At 55.3% G+C, this 25,581-nt stretch overlaps 1 protein-coding gene across 4 annotated transcripts in view, besides 2 other annotated features; it reads right to left on the bottom strand.

Moving 5' to 3' along the window:
* The window catches only part of ITPK1 (inositol-tetrakisphosphate 1-kinase), a 179,012-nt gene extending 154,965 nt beyond the window's left edge, over positions 1–24,047 (bottom strand). For 3 of the 4 annotated variants that reach the window (XM_047431351.1, NM_001142594.3, NM_014216.6), the window contains exons 1-2: positions 23,894–24,047; positions 23,191–23,427 (exon numbers count right to left, since the gene is read on the bottom strand). Coding sequence is in view for 3 of the 4 variants with exons in the window: in NM_001142594.3 (NP_001136066.1) it covers positions 23,191–23,285 (95 nt within the window). In the remaining variant the exon portion in view is untranslated. The remainder of the gene's footprint in view (positions 1–23,190; positions 23,428–23,893) is intronic. The other variant, NM_001142593.3, reaches the window with a different exon arrangement.
* Positions 294–801: an enhancer, noted in NCBI's record as "H3K27ac-H3K4me1 hESC enhancer chr14:93558517-93559024 (GRCh37/hg19 assembly coordinates)". NCBI's record gives its function as "activates a minimal SCP1, AML or CMV promoter by ChIP-STARR-seq in naive H9 embryonic stem cells {active_cell/tissue: H9 hESC(naive)}" and the evidence as "EXISTENCE:reporter gene assay evidence [ECO:0000049][PMID:30033119]".
* Positions 6,441–7,433: an enhancer, noted in NCBI's record as "H3K4me1 hESC enhancer chr14:93564664-93565656 (GRCh37/hg19 assembly coordinates)". NCBI's record gives its function as "activates a minimal SCP1, AML or CMV promoter by ChIP-STARR-seq in naive H9 embryonic stem cells {active_cell/tissue: H9 hESC(naive)}" and the evidence as "EXISTENCE:reporter gene assay evidence [ECO:0000049][PMID:30033119]".

Raw genomic sequence — 25,581 nt, forward strand, 5'->3', positions numbered from 1 at the left:
GGCGCCACTCCTGGGCAGCACTGGCAGGCCGGGTGCACTCGGACCTCAGCTGCTGCTCGGCCCTCTTCAGGACCCTGGGTTTGAGCCTTGATTTTAAAGCACCACAGGCTCTGGCACGGTGTCCAACCCCATGACTCCCCTGTCCCCCAGGCTCTCCACCTCATTCCCCACTTTTTACACAGAAGAGAGCCCAAGAACCCTTTTATAAGCAAGGCCCAGAACTGAGAGGGACTTATCTGAGGTCACAGAGAAGTCAAGGGGAGATTAACACACTGTCACCAGGCACCCACGCTAAGCCCAGCATGGGGAGGGTGGGCACACTGGCATTCGCAGCCTCCACCAGCACCCATGGAAAGGCTACCACAGCCCCACGCCAAAGATGCAAAATCGAGGCTCAGGGTCCCCTACAAGGACCAGAGTGCCAGGATTTTCCATCCAGGCCTCCTGACCCCCAGACCTGAGGTCCTTACGGCACCACGGAAGCCTGGAGCAGGAAGCCAGGCGCTCTGACTCCCAGGTCACATCAAGCACATGTCAGCACATGGCTACACGGGCCTTGACATGGGTGAGGGAGGACAGCATGCCAGCCCCCAAAGCAGGCCTGACCCACTGCCTGGAAACAGAGCTCGCCAGGTGGCAGTGCAGCCAGGCTGGGACCAGAAGGGAATGATGAAGAACCCTCAGCCAGCACTGGCCCTCAACGGAGCAATTTTACCCCCCACCCAGAGGACATCTGGAAGTACCTGCAGACATTCTTGGAAGACGAGAGTAGTACTGGCATCCAGTAGGTGGAGGCCAGGGATGCCGTTGGGCACAGCTGTGGGGAACCCAGCCAAAGCTGGGCCTAATGTGGTCCTGGCTGATGTCCACTGGGTCAGCCAAGCTTCCACCCCACGACAGCCAGGGCACCCTCTGCCCAGCCCCACTGCATTCGACTCAGCCTCCAGGCACCAGGAGACTCCAGCACGGCAGGGCCCAGGCCAGGGGGCTGGGCTGAAGAGCGCACTCCCCTGCCTCAGCCGAACCCACCAGCCACAGACTCACCCACCCTCCAGCCACGGCGCGTGCCTCCAGGGTGCCCCAGACCATAATAGTCTTTCCCTAGAGGAACCTCTGTCCCAGATCCGACTGCTGCTTCACTTGGTCTTCACAATGACGCCCCCAGCTCTCCATACACTCATTACCACATGACCCCTCATGACCAGGATGGCTACTCAACAAGCAGGATGCCGTTCTGTGACCAAGTCCAGGCCTGCATGGGCTCAACACCCATCTGCTGACAGCACAACGGCAAATACCCAACCTGTGGGGCAGACACGACCCACACCTACATGGACACGGCAGAAAGGACAAAGGACAGGGTCCACAGGGTTCTAGGGCCTCCAAGGGCAGAGATGGGGTGTGCAGGCTGCCCTGTGGAGCCCAGCTCTCTGCCCTGCCCCAGCGGCCAGGCCGTTTCGGCCCTTTGTGTTATAACTGCACTAGTCCTCAAGCCGCCCCTGGCGTGGGGTGATGTAGCCCTCCTCCCAGTCAGAAGTCTGAGTGCTCCGACATCATCTCCTCTTCCCCCGCTCCCCAACCTCCCCTTCCTCATGAAGTCAGGCCTTGACCTCAGTCCTTTCTTCCCCCCTCAGCCCTGCGCTGAGGTCAACAGGTTCCCTAAACCAGTGTTTGCAAACATGAATGTGCCGTGTGTACTGGCACCTCTTGGGGGTCTTGTTAAAACACAGATTCTGAGTCCGTGGATACAGAGGGCGTGGCGATGCTGAGGAACCAGGAGTGCTGAGGCCACCGGCCCCATACAGACAACATCCTGAGTAGTCGAGGAATAGCCGAGGTTGCTAATGAGTCCTCAGACCTGGATGGACTCTGAAGAGTTGATATCCACCACCACTGCACGATCTAGACCACCACTGCCTGGACAATCGCAGCAGCCTCCCCCTCCAATCCCACAAGCCCCTGGCTTCCACCCAGCAGCCAACCTCACACAACTGCTATGGCTCCCCCAGCCTTCAGGGCAAAGCCCAAGCGTGTACAATGATGGCTTATAGGATCCTGTGCAACCCGGCCTCAAAGGGATCCTCACCCCGATTGCCAAGCTCCAGGTGGACTAAACTTCTCTCAGCTCCTGGGGCGCTCCAGCCAGGCCCCCACCGCCTCGGCTCCACCGCTCCCGGGAGAAGGGAGGGTCTGGGGGCATCCCAGCTCTTACACCTGGGTGGTCTAGCAGAGGTTAGTTAACCTCTGTGAGGAGCCTCAGTTTCCTCCTCCGTTCTACCCGAGGATATGCGGGGCCTCCTCCTCCTCTCTCTTCCCTGCCTAGAGCAGTTCCTTGGAGCAGGGGATTGGAGGACAGACACTGGCAGGTGGCTGCCCTGTGGGTGACTTAAGAATAAGACAGAAGGAAGCAAGAAGCAGAGCTGAATCACCGTCGGTATGGGCTTTTCTGAAAACTCACCTATGCCCATGGCTCAGAGGAGGCTGAGAGGGAACGTCCTCCACAGGCCAGCCTAGGATGTCTCCCCCAGACCAGCAAGCAGTGCCAGCTGCACACCACCCATACAGCTAAGTCACCAAGGAGCTGTCAGCTGGACGTGGCCCCTGGGAGCCGGGTGAAGCCATCATTTTATCAGTGCATGCCCTGTGCTGGGTGCTAGACACAGACTCCTCATCTCCCCTCACACCAGCCCTACGATCATCTCCCTGGCGGAAGCTTAGGGACACTCAATGACCTCCCAGGGCCACCAAGCTTCCCAGTGAGGCAGCCAGGCCCCAAGCCGGTGAGCCCACCGGCTCCACGTTCTTCACCACTTGACGAGCATGTGTCCACACCTGGCAGTCACAGCGTGGGGACGGGACCCACTGCAGGCACAGGGAGAGGCAGGGGTGTTCCTCCCACAGCCAGCCCACTGCTTCCTAGAGGCTCTCAGCCCAGGCTTCCAGGGGCTCCCCACAGCCACCCATCTGCACCGGCCCTACATGCCCAGAGTCCGTGTTGAAGGACTCCTGGCTCCACAGCGTCACGCCTTGGCACAGGCTTGCCCGCTTTCTCCACTACCTTCCATCCATACCTGTCCGTGAGCGAGCTCCCTGCGCCCTCAAACATACCTCTCAAGGGTCACCACCTGTGGAAAGCTTTCTTCCATCTTCCCAGATAGAGAAACTTGCTCTGTTCCTCGAGCAGAGTTCATCTAACACTTCACCTCCTGTCTCTGTCTCCGCACCAACTGGGCTCCCGGGGTGCAGGAGGAACTCGGTGCTCCAGCACCCCGCATGGTGTCTGAAACCCAGACCACAGCACCACCTACATACCACCACCACCACCACAGTAATACCATCTACCGCTGATTGGGGCCTACGATGAGTTATTTGTAGTAATTGTAAATAAATCTAGCAGGCAGTGAACTATGGAACTTTATACCATTAATAATTATTTCAACTGACACACCAACCACAGAAGTTAAGAAGTGCTTTTTTTATCCTACAGACAAAGAAACAGGCTCAGAGAAGCTCGCTAACTTGCTAGACAGGAGCAGAAGCAAGTTTGACCCAGTCCCTCCAATTCCAAAGCCAGCTTCTGGGCCCTGTGGCAGGCAGCTGGAGGGATGGGAAGTAATGAAGCCGCTCCAGGACACAGTCACACTTATCAGCACCACCCAAAGCTTTTAAAAGGGTCACCTAGAGTCACGGACTAGGTTTTTTTTTTTTTTTTTTAATAAATTCAACTTTTATCTTAGATTCAGGGGTACATGTGCAGGTTTGTTACAAGTATAATGTGTGACACTGAGGTTTGGAGTATGAATGATCTCATCACCCAGGTACTGAGCATAGTACCCAATGGGTAGTTTTTCAGCCCTTGCCCCCCTCTCCCATTTCCCCCTCTAGTAGTCCCCAGTGTTGACTCTTCCCATCTTTGTGTCCATATATACCCAAGGTTTAGTTCCCATCTATAAGTAAGAACATGAAACATTTGGTTTTCTGTTCCTGCGTTAATTTGCTTAGGATAATGGCCTCCAGCTGCATCCATGTTGCTGCAAAGGATGGGGTTGTGTTCTTTTTCATGGCTGAGTAGTATTTCACGGACTATGTTGTGGGGTAATTTGATGAGAGCCTTTGCCTTCTACCTCCTGTAAAATAATCTCAAACTGCATGCTGGGGCCTGGAAAGCGCTGAGAAACCTGGCCCTGCCTGCTTCCTCACGGCCCTGTCCTCCCAGGCCTTGCCCCGGCCACGTCCTCCAACCACAGCTCACCAACACACCAAGCTCCGGCTCCCTCCTGTGCCCCTGGGGCCTCTGCACTTGCTAAACCCGCTTCCCCTGCCTGAGATGCCGCAGCCCCAGCTTTCTGCGACTGACTCCTTTCTGACCTGTCAGCAGCAGCCACAGCTCTCTCCTTGGGAAAGGTCTTCTCTGACTATGTGAGGACAGTCCCCAGACCCCTTCATATCACTGTCATCACTTCATTTTCCGATCCCAGATAAAATCATCCCTGTAACTCACTGGTTGACATGTCTGTACCCTCCCTATAGCCCTCACAGACTAAAGCTCCAAATGACAAGACCTTGTCCATCTTGGCCATCACTTGGCCACATGCACCACGAGGCCTGGCACGGAGGGAGGCCAATAGATGCCTGTAAACAGCTCTGCAGAGGATGCAGGAGTTGTTCTAATGAAGAAACACACACGAAGAACAACAACAGGAAATCCTGGGTCTGGATGCAATCTGGAAACAACACAGGCACCCAGCAGCACAAGGAGAAGGAGAGAGCGCAGGAGCTAGTCCTGGCTGCAGATTCACCGCTGGTTTCCCCACTGAAAATCCCAAGGGCTCTCCCAGTTGGAATGTTCAAGAATGTAGGGGCTCGAATGTTCTAGAATGTAGGGGCTCCAATGTTCTAACCTCCTCTTCCAGCTGAGAAAAATGAACTTCATCATGGAGGTGGGGGATTGCCACAAAGATAACACCAGGCCCCAATCCAGGAACAAAACTTCCCACCACCACACAGGACACTGACGTCACCGAGTCCCTTGGTCAGTCACCCACAGAGCCTTCCCTCTGTAAGCAAAAGCCAAGTTCCTGAAGAACCAGGACTGACAATACCTGGGTCGGTAGAGCTGGGCACACAGCGGACACTTCGAAAAGCTTTCTGAATGATGACAGTTGTTCCTTATGAACCCGACTTCTCCGCCCCTCCCCATACCCAGCCCAGCACCAGCTGGGCACCTGCCAGGTACTAATTTGGGAAAGGTCTATGGGCTGCCGGCCAACGCGCAGACCCGGATCACACACTCTGTGTGCAGACATGTTCCCAGGGCTTGACCCTCCCTGTATCCAGGCCCTTTGCAATGACTTTGACACCTCCGCCAAGGGGTAAAGTTTATTTTCTTACCCCTTGAATGTTAGCTGGCCTTGGGTCTTGTTTTGGCCAACAAACTGTAGAGACACAAACGGGCCTCCAGAGGCCTTGGAAACATCCACTGTTAGTGTCAGGAACAAGCCCAGCAGCCTGAGGAAAGCCAAGAAGGAGGCCAGGTCATGCCCAGCGCCTTCGGTTAGCCAAAGGTCAAGCCCCAGGGCAGAGACCCCTTACCAGACTGCAAGCTGACCACACACACGCAAGGGATTCCTAGCAAGACCAGAGCTACGCAGCAAAGCCCACAGAACTGTGGGATGAAAAAATGCTTATTGCTTAAAGCCAGTAGTTTTTAGGATGGGTTGTTATGCATCAATAACTGATAAAAACTTTTACCTACACGTAACGGAATCAGAAAGGGAAGGAAGACATTTATATTCACAAAGATGCCCAATGCAGCTGTACCTACAACAGCAAGAAAATGGGAAAAATCGGCCAGGCACAGTGATTCATGCCTGTAATCCCAGCATTTTGGAAGGCCAAGGTGGGCGGATCACTTTGGGTCAGAGGTTAGAGAACAGCCTGGCCAACATGGTGAAACCCTGTCTCTACTACAAGTACAAAAATTAGCCAGGCATGGTGGCAGGTGCCTGTAATCCCAACTACTCAGGAGGCTGAGGCAGGAGAATCACTTGAACCTGGGAGGCAGAGGTTGCAGTGAGCCAAGATTGCCGCCAATGCACTCCAGCCTGGGCGACAAGAGCAAAACTCCATCTCAAAAAAAAGAAAATTAGCCAAGTGTGGGCTGGGCCAGGTGGCTCATGCATATAATCCCACCACTTTGGGAGGCCAAGGCAGGCAGATCACTTGAGGTCAGGAGTTTGAGACCAGCCTGACCAACATGGTGAAACCCTGTCTCTACTAAAAATGCAAAAATTAATGGCCGGGTGCGGTGGTTCATGCCTGTAATCCCAGCACTTTGGGAGGCCAAGACAGGCAGATCACGAGGTCAGGAGATCGAGACCATCCTGGCTAACACAGTGAAACCCCGTCTCTACTAAAACTACAAAAAAAGTAGCCGGGCATGGTGGCGGGCACCTGTAGTCCCAGCTACTCGGAAGGTTGAGGCAGGAGAATGGCGTGAACCCGGGAGGCGGAGCTTGTAGTGAGCCGAGATCACGCTGCCGCACTCCAACCTGGGCGACAGAGCGAGATTCCGTCTCAAAAAAAAAAAACACACAAAAATTAGCCGGGCGTGGTGGTGGGCGCCTGTAACCCCAGCTACTTGGGAGGCTAAGGCACAAGAATTGCTTGTCCAACCTGACAGGTCCACCAGCCCCACCAGCTAAACCAGAAGCAATGGGTCCCAAACTCATTTCCCAGAGCCTTTGAGCTGAGGGCCCTCAAATAGAGACCATGGTGCAGGGCCGCACAGCTCAGCGGCAAAGCAGGGGTCTGAGCGCTGGTCCCAGCTTCTGCCACCTTGTGCAGCACCGAAAGGCCCATGAAGCTACTTCAGGGCTGTCCACACGGCCGCAACCAAGGCAGGGCAGAACGGCTTCCCTTCCCGAGCTTCCCTCCAGCACTCCCATGCAGCCGCCTCTGAAAATTCTGGAACACCAAGCAGAGGCACCCACAGCAGTTAAGCAGGCCCGGGGCAAGGGGCTCTGAGCAGGCCTTGCCCTCACCTGCCCCACTCGTTTCAGAAAGGAACCATAAGGGACCCATACTCTAACCAGGGCCTGTCACCCTGCACTTCTCCCAACCTCCAGCCCAGCCCCTTTGCCCGGGGCCCTCGGAACTGGGGCCCTGATATATGGAACATCCTGGGTTTGTGGCCACCAGCCACTCACCGTTCATTTCCTCTCCCCTTCCGGGTGGAAATAGTCCAGCATGTCCTCCCCGCAGTTCCACCAGGCCTGCTCAGCTGTGGGGGGCCAGGGTCTGGCTTAGTATATCGGAGCGGAGTGTCCTGGACAGGAGTGGCCCTCCCCAGACCAACACTCCCCTCCAGCTCCGACAACCCCCAGCCACTAGTTCACAGCTGCTCCAGGCTCTCAGAATTCCCAGGATCCAGCAAAAAGACACCTTCTCAACCCTCCCCAAGCAGGACAGGGTCAAACAGCAACAGGCTAATTGTGTTTACATAACACGAGATTGTTTAGCTCCAGAACACATCAGTGTCAAAACACCAAGGTTCTGCACAGCGACAGCGACAGTGGGGCAGGAAAGATGTCATCCTTCTCCAGGAACTCAGGCAGCATTTCCCAAGGCCCGGAAAAACCCCAGCCCACAAATAGGACATCAGCCCTCCAGTATGTCCACCCACCCAGCTGGCTGCTGGGCGCAGCCAGGACTCTCAGAATCTGCCTGTGTCGGGCTGGCCGTGGGAATAAGCCAGATTCAGGTTTAACTGAGGCACAAGGTGGGGTCCAGGAAGCCGCTTCGGGGCTGCCCATGCAGCCACAGCCACAGGGAGGCCCCGAGCAGCCTCCCTTCCGGAGCTTCCCACCAGCACTCCCACCCAGCTGCCTCCGAGAATTCTGGAACCCCAAGCAGAGGTGCCCAGCACAGGGTAGGCCAGCCTGGGGCTCAGACTTGTGGGGGTAGGTACTCTCCACTCCCTTCTTGGGAACAACGTCCTAGCCCTGGACTCTGTGTGCGAACCCTCAGGCCCCCGTCCAAGTCTTTGCAAGCTGGGTCCAGAGCTGGAAGCTGAGGGAGAGCAGCCCCCAGCCTCACTCTGGCCAGCCACTGAAGCCCAGAAACAGGGAGCACGTCCACTCCCACCTCAGCTGCCAAACATCCCTCCCCTGCCTCTGGGAAACAGTGCCCCTGCAGCATCCTTTTGGGGATCCACCCTGCCCACACTCAGGCCATGTAGAAGGGAATGAGGCGCTGCATTCCCCAGCCCCAGAGACTGGTTCAGAGACAGGTATGTGGCCCAGGATGACAAATCAGAGGCCAACAGAAGGAATCCCTGTCCCTGTGGACCTGGAGCATGAGGGATGGGGGACCCTGGAGCCAACCCAACCAGCTCTGAATCCCAGCTCTGCCCCTACCAGCTGTGTGACCCCAGGCAAGTTACTTAGCCCTTCTATGAGAAACAGGAATGCTAAAACCACCACCCTCCCAGGGCTGTTAATGCGGATCAAATGAGATCACACACCTAAGGAACGCCACAGTGCCTGGCTGAGAATAAGGATTGAGGGTGAGGACTCACCTTGCACCACATGGGCCTGAGAATGAAGCCAATGTAAAAGAGACCAGGGAAGCAGGGAGGGGGCCGGGGGGAGAGAGGAGGGAGAGAGAGAGAGAGAGAGACAGAGAGAGAGAGAGACAGACAGACAGACAGACCAGGCCCTATTGGACTGTCGCCTGAGTCTACCTACACCTGAAGCCAGAATGCCCCAAGGATCTGACTCAGGAACCAATACATCCCCTTTATTACCGAACCCGCTCAGCACTGAGGCTCCTGTCAGAACCCATCCACCCCTGTGGCTCTAGGAATCAGCCATACAATCGACTTACTGCTCAGATCATTAGCTGACGAGACCCCAATGACTCATCACATCTGTTGGTTAATTGAGAGTGAGAGGACTGGAGCACACAGCAATGGAAACAGATTTGCAGCCATGTGGCCCACTCCATAGGTCTCACTGTCCAGGGGGTCCCAGCCTGAAGCACATGCAGAAGCACTCACAGAACTGCCCACGTCCCAGATGGCTGCGTCAGGGAAGGGGCACCCACTCACTCCCCCATCCTTCCCAGGAGAGCATCCCAAATCCAAAGAATTGGTTCCTGTCACATTCCCAGCAAGGTTAGGAGAGACCACAGGGCCCATCAACAAAAATAACTCATCCTGGCCGGGATGGGGTCCACCAATCATGGCCCAGAACAGAACACACCCTCGCCTCTTCACACTCCTAGAGGTTCCCTGGAGGCCACAGGTGTACTTCTGGGCTGCGAAGCTGTCAGCCCAAAGCTCTACATGTGTGACCCTGCAAGGCCAGCCACTCTGAGCTGCAAACCCTTACACGCAAAGGCCTCTTCTGGCTCAAAGGTTTTCAAAAGTTACTCCTCTAAGATCGTGAATCTCTGTACCTCTGGACTCTGTGGAGGTTTACTCTGATACCACCTGACACAGGTGAGTAAGGGGCCACTTTCCCCCTTCTTCCTTCCAGAGATGGCCTCTGCCCTGCACAGAAGGGAAGTTTGCATGTGCTGACCCCCTCCTATGCATGAGCACAAGGTCACCTCTTACTGACAAGGAAATTAAGGCCCAGAGAGGAGCTGAAACACACCCACAGTCATCCACCTAGTAAGAAGCCGAGGCCGGGCACGGTGGTTCACGCCTGTAATGCCAGCACTTTGGGAAGCCAAGCCAAGTGGATCATTTGAGGTCAGGAGTTCGAGACCAGCCTGGCCAATGTGGCAAAACCCCATCTCTACTAAAAATACAAAAAATTAGCTGGGCGTGGAGGCGTGCGCTTGTGACTCCAGCTACTCGGAAGGCTGAGGCAGGAGAATCGCTTGAATCCAGGAGGTGGAGGTTGCAGTGACCTGAGATCGCGGCACTGTGCAAACTGATGTTTGAACCCCACCCCCAGGGTGATCGGCTATGAAACCCCGGGAAAGTCACTTACCCTCTCTGAGCCTCAGTCTCCACATACGGACTGACAGCTTCAAAGAGCCACATGTTAGCGCTCAGCACCATGTCAGGCATGAAGCTAGAGCTCCAGAGACAGGAGCCACTGCTGTTTCTGGAGCTAACTGTCCTTATACCACTTAACAATGCAGGGCAGGGTGACTCTGCAAGCTTAAGTGCATTTCTGGAGGGACTCCCCTGCCCCTAACCCTCCACACTACAGGCACCTCGTCAGCTCCCCCAAAAGAACGAGGCACATTCCTCACCAGGAGGGCTCCTCCTGATATGTAGACAAAGGTCAGAAGCTGGGGCCTGGACTGGCCTCTCCACAGCTACAGGCTTCCCCAGAGCAGCGAGAGGATGGGGCACCCAAATCTCCGCAAGCACAGGCCACGGCTTGGCTGCGCCCAGGTCAAGGTGATAAAAAGGGTGCTTGGGAGCTGACTGTGCAGGAAGCAAAACCTTTCTCCAACACGATCCCAATGCCGCGGGACACACCTTCCTGCAGGGAGGCGGCAAAGGCCTCTAGTGGCAAGGCCATAATTCCTTTTCTTTTCAAGGATCCCATGACGAATGTTAGGACTTTAAAATCTTAAAGAAAATAGGCTGGGCTGGGCGTGGTGGCTCACACCTGTAATCCCAACTCTTTGGGAGGCTGAGGTGGAAGGATCACCTGAGGTCCGAGAATCACTTAAACCTGGGAGGTGGAGGTTGCAGTGAGCCAAGATCACACCACTGCACTCCAACCTGGATGACAGAGCAAGACTAACAAAAAAGAAAAAGAAAATAGGCTGGCTAGGCACAGTGGCTCAAGCCTATAATCCCAACACTTCGGGAGGCTGAGACGGGCGATCGATCAAGCTCAGGAGTTACAGCCAAACCTGGCCAACACAGTGAAACCCTGTCTCTACAACAACGGCAAAAAAGACAGAAACAAGTCTGGGAGTGGTGGCTCATGCCTGTCATCCCAGCACTTTGGGAGGCCGAGGTGGGCGGATCACGAGGTCAGGAGATCGAGACCATCCTGGCTAACACGGTGAAACCCTGTCTCTACTAAAAATACAAAAAATTAGCCGGGCATGGTGGCAGGCGCCTGTAGTCCCAGCTACTCGGGAGGCTGAGGCAGAAGAATGGCATGAACCTGGGAGGCGGAGCTTGCAGTGAGCCAAGATCGCGCCACTGCACTCCAGCCTGGGCGACAAAGCAAGACTCCATCTCAAAAAAAAAAAAAAAAAAGAAAGAAAGAAAGAAAAAAAGAAAAATAGGGCCGGGCATGGTGGCTTACGCCTGTAATCCCAGCACTTTGGGAGGCTGAGACGGGCAGATCACGAGTTCAAGACCAGCCTGACCAACACAGTGAAACCCCATCTCTACTAAAAATACAAAAATTAGCCGGGCGTGGTGGCGCGTGCTTGTAATCCCAGCTACTCAGGAGGCTGAGGCAGGAGAATCGCTTGAACCCGGGAGGCAGAGGTTGCAGTGAGATTGCACCACTGCACTCCAGCCTGGGCAATAGAGCAAGACTCCGTCTCCATCTCAAAAAAAAAATAAGAAGAAGAAGAAACTCACGAGCCCAGGACCCTGAGAGGTACGTGACCCAGCACACTGTGGGCAAGAGCTCCCAGTGGTGAGACAACTGCCCTGAAGCTCTCCCTAAGACTGACCCTGGGGCTCCAGGAGACTGTGGTGCTCACTGCTGTATCAATCCCCAGAACCCAGGAGTGCCCAGCATACAGCAGGCACTCAGTAAGTATGTGGCATGTAAGTGCATAAAGGAATGAATGGGGTGTTTTTTAAAAAGAAGATGCCACGGCCCACCCCAGATTCATTCCAGGGGAGGGGGAGGCCTGGGAACCTGCACTAGGACAAGTACCCCAGGGTGGAGACCGGATGTTTCCTCACCTCCGCAGCCCAGCCCTTGACTGTTGGATGGAAACAGGGTGTGAGGCAGAAATGAAAGTGAAACTGCCACAGGAGGGTTCTCTCTGCACCCATCTACCATGCCCCGCCCTGCCCAGGAAGCAGCAAGCTGACCACTGGAGGATCCCCCAGAAAAAGATGGGTGGCAGCTCCCAGCAGAGATGTGTCAGAGGCCCCAGGCCCTGCCTTGGGCGGGTAGGAGGGCAGGTGAGGTGGCCTCTTGGGTGGAGGGGGAATCCTATCATTTGGCCCTAGGGCGGGTGCACTGCACCCACCTTACAGTTGGGAGGGCAGAGGCTCAGGACAAGTCTCATGCTCCAACTTCACTGCCATCTCCACCATGCACTATCCTCCTGGGCCCAACAACTGCACACAAAGGATGCTCAGAAAAGAACCCCTTGAGGCAGGGCGCGGTCGCTCACACTTGTAATCCCAGCATTTTGTGAGGCCAAGTTGAGCAGATCACCTGAGGTCAGGAGTTTGAGACTAGCCTGGCCAACATGGTGAAACCCCATCTTCTCCACTAAAAATACAAAAATTTGCTGGGTGTGATGGCGGGTGCCTGTAATCCCAGCTACTGGGGAGGCTGAGGTGGAGGTTGCAGTGAACAAAGATCACACCTTGCACTCCGGCCTGGGTGACAATAGCGAAACTCCATCTCAAAAAAAAAAAGAACAGAACTCCTTGATTTTCCTGACATCGATCGACGGCAGCTGGATGCTGTGTTGAAGACAAAGGCAACCTGGCGGAGTGGAAACAGCATGGTTTCAGGAGTCACCCATCCCTGAGGGTGAATCCAAGCTGTGCTGCTCACAGCACCTGGCCTCTCCCTGAGTCTCAGGGCCCTCATCTAGCAAATGGAGACCCCTCAGCCATCCTGGAGGGTAGTTATCCCATCTGCAATAGTGCCTGACCCCCATGGTAGGTTCTCAGGATCCTCTGAGATCTGGCATGAGCCATGAATGTACAAGGGGGCAGAGAGGAAGCAACACAGCCCTGCCAAAGCACAGCAGGCCGCCTGAACAAACCCAGAGTCCCAGTTTCTGGCTTGGGCTCCAAGAGCGCCCAGAGTGACCCCAGGCTAATAAGAATGGTTGCTGAGGAGTCCATGGGTTTGCAGCGTAAACTGCTGAGGAAAACGCCACAAGTGTCTATCTGGCCAGATCGGTCCCAGGAATGTCTCTTGTGCAAAACTAGCTCCTTTCTATACACTCCGGGCAAACCAGCAGCCAGAGGCAAGAAATCTGAAAAGGCTTCTTTTGAGAAGGAATTTGGCAAAAGGTAGCAACAGCAGGTAGAACTGGGCTGGGCTGACGACCTGGTGCCCCTGCCATGTCTCCCTCCTGCATGAGGGGGCTCCAGTGAGGCCTCAGGTGAACGGTGCCAGACTGGAGATTCCCACAGTGAGCTCAGGGTACAGAGACCCAGGAGCCAGCCTGGGAACCTCTGGCTCCAGCAAACCTCCTGGAGGGGACCTGCCCCTGAGAAGTCTGAAACACACTGCTTCAGCCTTGGCTAACTCGGTGCTTCCCCACGCCTGACAGTTTTGGGGTAAGGTCTTCTGAGGCACTTCATGAAATGACAGTGAGTAGTTTCCCATAAAAATCATCAGGGTACTTCACAAGGAGCTCCCCAGCCCCCTTCCCAGGAGAATCTTCATCTCACAGGGAAGGGAGACTTCAGGATGTGTACTTCTCCCTTCTCCCCAGTGCCCCTGGAGCTTTTTTTTTTTTTTTTTGGAGACGGAGTCTTGCTCTGTCACCAGGCTGGACTGCAGTGACGCAATCTCGGCTCACCACAACCTCCGCCTCCTGAGTTCAAGCGATTCTCCCACCTCAGCCTGCCGAGTAGTAGCTGGGATTACAGGCACCCACCACCACGCCTGGCTAATTTTTGTGGGGTTTTTTTTTTTTTTTTTTGAGACAGAGTTTCACTCATGTCACCCAGGCTGGAGTACAGTGGCGCGATCTCGGCTCACTGCAACATCCACCTCCCGGGTTCAAGCGTTTCTCCTGCCTCAGCCTCCCGAGCAGCTGGGATTACAGGTGCCAGTCACCACACCCAGCTGATTTTTTGTATTTTTAGTAGAGACTGGGTTTCACCATGTTGGCCAAGCTGGTCTTGAACTCCTGACCTCAGGTGATCCGCCCGCCTCAGCCTCCCAAAGTGCTGGGATTATAGGCGTGAGCCACCACGCCCATCCCCTGGTGTCTCTTTTGTTGGGCAAGTTTGGCAAACAAGTAACTTGGAGGAAGATCGATGACTGCCAAAGAGCACACAGGTCAGGCGCGGCTTCCCTCGGCTCCCTTGGGCACCTGAGACCTAACCTGATTCTTGAGAAAGGTCAGCTGACCCACCCACTACCACCCCATCCACCCCACCACCCCACAGCCCAGAGCGGCTCATTTCCAGAACACAAAGGCTGGACTGAACCAGACCCACGGGGAGCATTTTGTCTTCCTATCCCTGGCCCCGAGGGCATAACTGCAGCCTCCCTCGGATGGGAGGAAGGTCACACTGTCAGGAAACAAGGCTCTAGAAGGACACCCCGACACCTCCTTGAACCACCCTGTCTAAGGTGGAAACCGGCCTCAGTTCTGCCCAGAGCTGCCTGCCCTCCAATCCACATGGAACCCAGGGCTTATGGCAGAGGCTTATAAGGCTTATGGTAGAGGCCAGGGTGTGTGGCCTCTACAAAGTGGACACCGTCCACCCTGTGGGTCCTTTAGCTCCTGGAGAGAGCTCTAGGCCCCTCTTGCTGAATGTCGCCTCCTTAGAGAGGCCTTCTCTGACCACAGAGTGCTAAAGTGGCTGCAGCCACTGCGCCATAGTTCTCTCCTGTTTGCAGGTTTCCTGGCTCTAGTCACACCTTGCAGCATTTCCAGTGCATCTGAGAGCTGGTTTGCCTTCACCTCCTGCAGGTGTACATGCCGGCAAGGACCAGCACCCAGCACAGGCCTGGCCAGGGCAGATGCTCAGGACTTGCCCACAAGCCCCTCCGGAACCTGGGACTTACCACCTAACTCTCTCCCCATCTCCCCCACCCCTGGGGTTTCCTTCCTGGCCCAGAGCATTCCAGAGTCACAAGTGGCTTTGGCTGAGCCATAGGGACATGAAAAAGGCTTCCAAAAACCACCAGGCAGTTATTGATCCACTAACATACTTTTTTTTTTTGAGACAGAGTCCAGCTCTGTCACCCAGGCTGGAGTGCAATGGTGCAATCTTGGCTCACTGCAATCTCCACCTCCCGAGCTCAAGCAATTCTCCTGCCTCAGCGTCCCAAGTAGCTGGGATAACAAGCACCTGCCACCATGCCCTGCTAATTTTTGTATTTTTAGTAGAGATAGGTATTCACCATGTTGCCCAGGCTGGTCTTGAACTCCTGACCTCAAGCAATCTGCCCGCCTCAGCCTCCCAAAGTGCTGGGATTACAGGTGTAAGCCATCACACCCAGCCACTAACAGATTCTTTTTTGAGCTCCTATGTGCACTGGTATAGGCACTGGGGTTTCAGCAGTAAATAAAGCTGCCAAAATCTCTACCTTCATAGAACCAACTACTTAAAAACAAGACAGACTTAAAATAAGCAGGACAATGAGCAAGTCAGAGAGGAAGAACAGGCCCAGTGGTGGGGGCCTAAGTATCAGTGAAGATTCTGACGGCGAGAGAGGTTTGGAACGAAGACATCTCCCTGAAGCTGTCTGGGAGGGCCTTTGGCCTGTGGGTCCCGATTCACCCTCTGGGGCAGCTGAGTCTGCAGGTGGCCTCTGCCACAGGTGTGCCCTGGAACATCATGAGCAATTAACAGGGTGGGGCACCCAGCACTCAAGGGCCTGGAGGGGTGGGGGGATGCGGAGCGGGGTCTGGAGTCTGGAGCTCCCTTGTGAGAGTGATTCTTGACGCTCCACGGCTCCACGGGATCTCTGACACGAATCTCAGATCCACCCCACCGAACCCTAAAAATGGCTGTGGGAGCACTCCCAGGGGCCATCCAGAGGATGGGCCTACAGAAACCAGCCCATGAGGCTCTGCTGGGGAGATGCAGGCCACAAGGGCAGCTGCTTTCTGAGCAGGCTCAGAGCAGCAAGACGAAGCCCCAGAAAGACTCAAAGGGCCCCACAGGTATGGCCTGGCCACTCTAATACACACCGTGGGCCGCAGCCGGGAGGAAAGGCCTGTTCACAAGGAGGCTTTGGCCAGTGGTGAGTGGGGAGCACTCGGCTTGGAGCGAGGCAAGTTCCCCTCCCACATTTCCACTGTGTGACCATGGGCCAGTTCTCGGGAGTCCCACACCCTCTCCAGAGCAAGGCCACACACACCCGGGCCGGCTCCCCAAGGGCCACCAGAGTGGGAGAGGCTGGGCTGGGCCCAATTCATGCAGGATGGGGAAGGTGTTTAAGACAGTGACTTTGCGAGGGAAAGAAGGAGGTGCACAGCTCTTGAATGCTTTGCTTCCTAAAATGAATGCTACTTTTTAAAAGGGAAGTGCCATAGTATTCTCTCAAATGTAGCTTTCCAGCTGAATTCAAAATGAGTGGGAACTGAAACCCTATTTACATCCAGCTGTTCAGGAACTGTGCTCATGGGGCACTTGACTTTAAGTATTTACTGAATGTCCCAAACCTGCTAAACCATGTGGGAGAAATAACCGGTAAAGGCAGGATGGCCCAGTGGTTAGAAACATTGATGCCCATCCTGCCATGCAGGTGCACCCAGCTCTTCCAGGTGCCTGCAGTCAGCCCCCAGCAACCTAAACTCCTCAATCTCACTATCTCACTAGGTGAAATATGAATCCAGAGGACCATCTCACCCACAGATTTGTCCCGGCCCTGAGCGCAGGAGGGTGCGCAGCACAGGCTCTCCCATTCACTGTCATTGGGACTGACATATTGAAATTTCTTTGTGAGCAGTTTCAGAACATGTATGAAAAAGCTGGGCGTAGTGGCTCACACCTGTAATCCCAGCACTTTGGGAGGCCGAGGTGGGCAGATCAATTGAGGCCAGGAGTTCGAAACCAACCTGGCCAAGATGGCGAAACCCAGTCTCTACTAAAAATAGAAAAATTAGCCAGGTGTGGTGGTGCATGACTGTAGTTCCAGCTACTCGGGAGGCTAAGACAGGAGAATCACTTGAACCCAGGAGGCGGAGGTTGCGGTGAGCCAAGATCGTGCCACTGCACTCCAGTCTAGGCGACAGAGGGAGACTCTGTCTCACACATACACACAAAAAGTATGAAAAAGTAAAATGCCTGTGCCCTCTGACCCAGCCCTCCTCATCTAGCAATGTACACCCAGGCAAGGGGACGGGGTATTGTCATGCTGCCCATACCAGCAGAAACCAACACCAGCGGAAGAAACATGTTCCATCCTTTTAAGAACTGGACCACACAGCTGTTTAAAAAAAAAGAGGTAATGATACAAAACTTTCTCCAAATGAAGCAGCGATGTGGAGTTTCTCCAAGACACACAGTCCCATGCAATGTGCAAGAGCACAACAGTAATACATATGGAGAGACCTACACGTGCACGCGCCCCTGAGTGTGCATAAACACCTATAGAGACAGACTGCCCCAGGGAACTGGAACTCAGCAATGAGAAGCGAACAGGGCTGACGTTTCATTGTATACTTTGAGTCCTCTGAATTTTTTTTAATATGTGCATGTCTTAAATATTCAAAAAGATACAGAAAACAATAAATGTTAGCTAGTAATAGTAACAAGATTACCAGTGGAGACTTGGCATTTTCAGGAAATCCAGAACAAACTCTTCTCAATCTCCAAACTTAAAAAAATACAAGTAGCATCTTAACATAAATTTCTCAGCTTCCCCATCCATAAAGTAGGTGGGGACAGCACCTCCACCTCCTGGGGGGCTGTAATATTCAGATGGGCCATGTGCTGAAGGAGAACAGAACCCCGCTGTGATGCTGAAAGGCCACCAGGCAAGCCTGGGCCCCCTCCTTAGCTATGCCCACTGAACAGTTTCAAATCCTCAAACCCACATCCCTGCAAGATGATCAGTTCAGCCATCGTGGCCTTCAGGGTGACTTGCAAACTGCCAAAACCAAGAACACTAAATCTACAAAGGCCAAAGGTCCCTGAATAGAGAGGCATCCATGGGCAGAGACCCACTCACTCACTCCACAGGGACGACGACAGCAGCGGCCGCCGCCACTGACAGAATTCCAGGCACTATCCTGGACCCTTTAGCAAATTCCCTCATTTGATGCTCGCAACCCTAAGCTAAATTATTACCCTCACAGATGAGGAAAGTGAGGCACAGAGGGGTAGGGAATGTGTCGAGGGTCATGGGGCACATAGGCAGTCAGTCGTGGAGTCAGGCCTGAAACTGAGGCAGTCCCTTCAATAGATCCATGTGCACACGGACGCTTCCTCCTATGTGAAGTTCTGTTTGCTCCCCAGGAGGCTGGTAGAAAGTGTTCATTTGCAAGGCTGGGTTATGAATACTCCCTGTGCACTGCTGCAAAGAAAACCTAAGTCAGCACCTCTTCCCACCTCTGCACCCCCGAAATGGTGGCAAATCCAGACATTAAAACAAATAAAAAAATACCCACCCACAGACCAGCATCACTTAATCCTGGAAAAGATCCTCCTTCCTCCCTGCAGAGAATCTCCCGAAAGAATTCCAGACCAGAATGCTAAGCCATCCCTGTAGAAAAGGACCTTGGAGATGGCCCTATTTTAAAGGAACAAATGTAGGGCCCAAGGGGAAGGGACAGGCCCGGTGGCATGCTACACTCTCACTGGCACGCCTCCCAAGCCAGTTTACTGTTGACACCAAACTCCCAGACCCATGAGAGCAGATGCAGGCCTGGGCTACCTACCAAGGGTGGTCATAAACGTGAACATTAATGAACTCCTCAGTCCCTTCTAAGGTATTGGGACAAAAGGGTCCCTGGTGGGATACCAAGGTCTGAGACTGCTCCAGAAACACGTTTCTTGCAAGCCAAGTCAGCCCAGCTGGCCTCCAAGTCTCTGGAGGATGAGAAACTCACAGACATTCTTGTGCTTCTGTAGCCTCCTGGAAGCCCCAGCCTAACCTGGGCAAATAAACAAGGGAAGCCACATTCTCAGCGCAAAGGCCTCAGGAGTGGACTCAAGAAAGCCCTCTAGCTGGCTGTGCAGGTCCTATAGACTCCCGGAGCCTCTGTTTCCTCATCCCTCCATCCCAACGAGGGATGTCCTCATCCCTCATCCCTCATCCCTCCATCCCTCATCCCTCCATCCCTCATCCCTCCATCCCTGGGCTGCTGGAAGGATTAAATGAGATGAGGTCCCTGGAAGCACTTCATTAAAAATCAGCAATTATTACAGTAAAGACAGATAAGGTTCACCCAAATTTTATATGGAAAGCTTCACCAAGTCATGTGCCTCTTCCGCCCCCACCTCCTGCAACGTAGGTTCAGCCACAGAAAGAATGGGACAGAGAGGAGGAGAGGAGGAGGCACAGAAAACATGAGCTGAGGAAACTGGGGCCAGCCAGTATTCCCCAGTGAGGCACTGTACAGAACTACAAAATTTAAAATTAAATTAATATCACCCAGTATTTCCAACTAACAGCTTTAATTTCTTCACTCCCCCTCTGAAGCCCCTTCTGAGCATCTAGAAAAAGCCACAAAGGCCAGGAATGCCTGTAATCCCAGCACTCTGGGAGGGCAAGGCAGGCGGATCACCTGAGGTCAGGAGTTCGAGACCAGCCTGGACAACATGGTAAAACTCCATCTCCACTAAAAATACAAAAATTAGCCAGGCGTGGTGGTGCGCACCTGTAATCCCAGCTACTCAGGAGGCTGAGGCAGGAGAATAGCTTGAACCTGGGAGGCGGAGGTTGCAGTGAGCCGAGATTGCGCCACTGCACTCCAGGCTGGGCGACAAAGCGAGACTCCACCTCAAAAAAAAAAAAAAAAAGCCACAAAGAGGGGGTGGTGTGGGAGACCTACAAGGTTGCTCCCAGGCTAGGGAAGGCAGGTGGGAGGGGTACAAGAGAACACAACCAGAGCCGTGTCCCCAGAGAAAGGGGAAGAAACAGGATGGCAACAGGAACAAACAGTACCACTGACAAACAAGTGGATTCAAAGGCCCATCTGCTGGCTAGCAGAGCCCCATCCTATCAGAGTGCACATCTGAAAAGGCTGGCGCCTGTCCCTACCTACGGCAGGTGGGGCACTTCATGGCCCATGAAGTGGCTCTAACCACCCACTGTTGCCATCAACGTGCACTACCCCCCAAACCCTCCCCCCAAGACAAGGATTACACTTGCAGAGGGGCTCAGCTTTGCAAGGAATGTGTCCTGGGGGCTAAATAGCAGCCACCAGACCCCTGGAAAGATAATGAGGGAGACTGCCTTATTGTCGGAGATGCCCAATCAGAAAGGCAATCTCAAGGTAGCCAGGTTGGACCCATTCTAGAAGTTAAAGGAAAAGACCAAGAGTCCGGAACCTGCCCCCTCTCTTGATGGGTTTCCCCATCTGTAAGACAAAGGGGCTAGATGAGATGATGGCCAACATCTCTTCCTGCTCTGAGATCAGATTTTTACAAGGCCGGACATTCAGCTAAACAACCCACCCCGGGCCGGACCATTCGGGTCATTCTTTGCCCAAACATTAAGAGCAGGGCCATTTTTTTTTTTTTTTTTTTTGAGATGGAGTCTCGCTCTGTCACCCAAGCTAGAGTGCAGTGGCACCATCTCGACTTACTGCAACCTCTGCCTCCCGGGTTCAAGTGATTCTCCTGCCTCAGCCTCCTGAGTAGCTGGGACTACAGGCGCCTGCCATCATGCCCGGCTAATTTTTGTATTTTTAGTAGAGATGGGGTTTCACCATGTTAGCCAGGATGGTCTCGATCTCCTGACCTCGTGACCCACCCACCTTGGACTCCCAAAGTGCTGGGATTACAGACAGAAGACACGGCACCCGGCCCAAAGCAGGGCCATTTTCAAATACCTTTAGACTTTTTCATTAGGGAATTCATAGACAATTCATCACCCGTCGTCAGTACAGAAGCCCTGCGCCCCCAGATTCTGAATGTGGAAAACATGATAATGTCCTTTGCACTGTCTCTCAGCCACTAAAGTCTCATTGGCCCTCACACCAAACAAAACAACCTCACGGGGCTCCCTGGTCACTGGCTCAACAGTTGCAGCATTTTGCAGCCAGTATAGAAATGTGGCCACCAGGGGGCACTGCCCTGAAAGTAATAAATAAGAAACGGAAAAACTCTTTGGTGTTTTCTTTTCCTTCTTAGGCTTAAGTGATAAAATATCTAAAGCTTCCCTAGTGAAAACACAAAGTGGGCTTCCTCGGGTTCTAGAATGGCCCTGATGACTTCTGCCTTCTTTGAAGCCAATATTTTGGCCAAAGGAAGGCAACTAGACTTTGAAGACAACAACTCTTTCAGAGAAAGTAATGCTCTACTCCCCAGAACGTTGATAGCATAGCTTGCTCTGAACCTCCCACCCCTTTAAAGGAAGAATGTCTACAAGGTCAAGCCAATCTGCAGGTCCAGCACGAGGACCTAGTTGTGAGTCTCGGCGAAGAATATTTTGCGAGAGCCTCCTAATTACCAAGCAAAACAAGCCAACCCAATGACAAGCCTCAAGCTTGAGTTGCAGACACAAGATGACATAAATACAGACAGCAGTACAAAGGGTGCGAGGTATTCGCTGGGATTTCCCAAGTCTTACATGACTGCAGGGGGAGCTCCGGTGCCTCACATCAGAACTGGACTTCGAGAACATGCCAAAGCAGCTGCTCCAAATTTCTTTAGTGTCTTAGAATGCCCTTCCCACAAGTGAGTGTATCCGCGGTACAACGTTCAAGTACCCTTTTGTAATGTTCCAAGGGTCCTAAGACTCATTTTCAAAGCTCTGGCTTCGAGCTCCTCCTGATTTCTTCATGAATTGCTGGGGCCACTCTGCATGCCCTATTGATCATGAAGAGCCTGTCTTCTAGGGAAACCGGCCTGGGAGAAGGCAGCCAACCCCATCCCCAGACCAAGGGATAAAGAACCAGGCACTATCCTGTACAAGCTGTGCCCCTCTGGCTGCAGGAAGAGCGCCTGCGGGGCTTGCACGGGGCAAAGGAGCAGCAGGCCCTTGGGAAAGGCATGAGGCACACAGAGGTGCTGCCAGGCTCACCTGCGCATGCCAGCTCAGACCAGCCACGGGCCCCCAGGAGCACCAGGGGTTACGGAAACCCAACTGTTCAATTCTCCAAGATGTGTGGGGCCCCCACAGGGACAAAAATGCAAGTAGAGCCCATTTTCAAAAATCAGTCTAACAAGCTGCATCACAAAAGGTTTCCACCTGGAGTTTGCAAAAGGCTTTCAGAGCTAGATTCTCTTAGGCTTGCATTGAGAAAAGGGCTTAACTGCTTCTCAGAGGCAAAGCTACAGTTGTGGAGCAAGGGAAGGCCTACCTGACCCAAGACTCAGTAGTTCTGTAATTTATTAAGAACGTGATCTGTTAAACACCGGAGACTCCGCCAAGGAGCACCAGCATGGTGGGAGCAGGGGCACACAGCCCAGATGGCAGAAGGCCACTCCACACCACGGGCATTTACCCAGCACTTTCTACGCACCAGCCACTCCCTAGCTGCGGGACCCCAAGCTAGGTACCCCGCTCCTCTGCCGATCGGTCCCCGTTCTCAGACAGGTGGCCCAGAATCACCACCCTGGCCAATTTGCAGGGCTGCTGCGAGGCTCTAATGAGACAGCAAATCACCACATACATGCCAAGAATTGCTACTCGCTTCAACTGGGCTTAACCTCATGATATGCAATGACAGCCTCAAGAGCCGAGCACACGCGGGGCACATAGTAGGTGGTCCACAAACGTGGGTGCCCTTTCTTCATGAAAGGGAAGGGGACGAAGGAAGAAAAACACTCCGGTCCAAAAGTACCCTCAAGCCCTTACCCCACAGCGTGGATGCCCCGATTTCCCAGGTCCCTCCGCAACCCTCAGTAGAACTCCCACCGCGCCCTGGGCTGCTGGGGGCCTCCCCAGCCGGGTCACAGTGCACCTGAACGCCCCGGTCCGTGCCACCTCGCCCGCACCGGCCACCGCTTCCCTGGAACGCGGCCGGCGGCCGCCACCGCCACCTGGCTGCTCGGACTCAGTCTCCCCGCGCGCCGCTTCTTCCCGTTTGGCTCCGATCTCCCAAAACAACTAATGAGGCTGCACCGGGCTCGGGCCGGGGGTCACCGGGCTCGGGCCGGGGGTCCCCGGGCGCCGGCGCCGCGTCCCTCCTTACCTGCACAGCTCGGCGAAGGCCTGGAAATTCAGCTTCTTGATTTTCTTCTCGCTCAGCCAGTAGCCAACTCTCTTCCCTTTCAGAAAGGTCTGCATCTTCCTCCTCGGGCGGGGAGCCTGGGTCCGGAGGAAATCGCCCACAGGCCGAGTCTGGCGGCCGGCGCGCGCCGCGAGCGAGTGGGCACCTCCTCCCGGCGGCGGGGACGCGGAACGGGGATCGGAGCTGGGGCGCGCAGTCCTGCCGCGCGGAGCGGAGCGGGGCGGGGCGCGGCGGGCGGCCGGGAGGAGGGAGCGGCGCTCAGCGCGGAAGGCCACTGGCTGGGCCAAGCTGCCACCGCCCACGCCCCCGCCGCCTGCGGGCTCGCCCGCCCGCCCACCGGCTCGCGAGCGCCGCGCCGCCCGGCCTGCCGGCTGAGGCTGGGGCACGGCTGAGCCTGAGTCTGAGTCGGAGCTGGGGCCAGGGCCCGCAGGAGGGGAAGCCGGGCCTCCGCAGACACCGCCCCCGCCCTGCCCGCCCTCCCGCCGCGCGGGCCCGAGCCACACGCCCTCAGGCGGCGGCAGAAGCGCGGCCTCCGAGCCCTTCCTCCCTCCTCCTCCCGCCCGGGTCCTCGCCCTCTGATGTTCCCAGCCGGGCCGTAACCCCTGGGCGCGCTTGGACCCCGGCGGGGCGCACGCGGCCACTCGGCCCGGCCAGAGATCCTCACCCGCCGCCGCCGCCGCCACTTCCTCCTCGGCCTGGTCCTCGCGCGCTGCCCGCCGAGAAGGGCGGCGGCGAGCGCCCGCGCACTCGCCGCCCCTGCCCGCCGCCGCCCCGCGCTGGCCCGGCCGCCCCGCTTGAGCCCGCGGCGGCGAGGAAGCGGCGGGGCGGCCGCCAGGGGGCAGCGCCGCCCGCCGCCTCTTAAAGGCGCCGCGCCGGCCCTCGCGGCTACCCGGCGCCTGTTTGTGTCCCCGGGTGTGGGGTGCGGGGCGCGGGGCTTCCTGGGGGCGGCCGTGGCCCGGCGGTCTTACTTCGGGAAGGGAGCCGCGGTGTGGGCGTGTGTTCCGCCTGGCCTTTGGGGGCGACCGAGCCGCTGAGTTTCGGAAACGTCTCTGTACCCCCAGCAGGGTTCAGCACCCCCAAGGCAATCCATTGCAACTGCGCCCGGAAGGAGACCTTCCAGGAATTCGCCCCTTCCCTCGAGGAAGCGGACCCTGGCCCAGGATGGGGCCCCCCGGGGGGGTGGGTGAACACCCAGGGGCCCTCCTAGGCGTAGGACGTGACCACCAGTTCTCACTCTAGGTCCCCTTCACTGAGGGGGGAAGGGGCGGGGACTGGAGGCGACAGCGACAACAGCGGCCGTCCCCGGAGACCCCTTCCTCAGGGGTGCGGGTCAGCGTCGGCGCCGGGGAGTCACTAAACCCCGCCTACCCTGCCCTGCCCTATGGGGCAGCCAGGGAGCTTTCCTGCCTCAATGGTCTCTGGGTTTGGGAAGGAGAAATGGACTTCTCTCCCCAGGCCCAGGCAGGAAAAATGGATTCCCGTGGAGGGAAGGCTCAGAAAAGTTTGAGAGGAGACACTGAAGCTGGCCTTGGAAATCAAGGAGATTTTGATGGAGCAGGGAAGGGGGATGAGCTTGAATTGAGGCTGGGAGACAAGAAAAAGCCAAGTTGCCAGCGGGTGACCAAGACTTCCCTTGATCACACTTGAGTCAGGCTCCTCCGAGACCTCTTTCTGACCAGGCCCCGACCTTGGGCTCTGTCCTTGGCCTTCTTAGTCCAGTTTTAGCCAGAATCCTGCTGTCAAGAATATCTCCACGCTTGGTATGTGATCACCCTGGCCGGCCTACATTAAGAAACTCCGTCTCAAAAAAAAAAGAAAGACAAGGATCTCTCTATGCTGCCCAGGCTGGAGTGCAATGGTGCAGTCATAGCTCACTGCAGCCTCGAACACCCCTGCTAAACTGATCCTCCCACCTCAGCCTCCCGAGCAGCTGGGACTACACTGTGTTGCCCAGGCAGGTCTCGAACTCCTGGCCTCAAGCTGTCCTCCCACCTGGGCCTCCCAAAGTGCTGGGATTGTAGACCTGAGCCACCCCGCCTGGCTTCCCTGCCATCTTTAACGAGAATCTGATTAGTTTTTTTCTTTAACAAGGTAGAGAAAACGGATGGATGGAGAGTGGAAAAGACGATGGGTGGGAAACAGGACTCCTCCAGGGGGCCAGCTAGGGACGGGCACTGCATGCCTTAGGCAAGGGTACTGCGAGTTTCATAGGCCATGGGAGCCTAGAAGGTAAGTGGTGACAGGTTCCAGGGTCAGCTCTGTGGCTTAGAATGCCTGGCTCCTGGGGGGGACATGGAAAGCTGGATAAAGGGAAGATCATAGCAAGGACCCCTAGGGCCGAGGCACAAGATG

The sequence above is a fragment of the Homo sapiens genome, chromosome 14, assembly GCF_000001405.40.
Source record: "Homo sapiens chromosome 14, GRCh38.p14 Primary Assembly".
NCBI classification, from domain to species: Eukaryota; Metazoa; Chordata; class Mammalia; order Primates; family Hominidae; genus Homo; species Homo sapiens.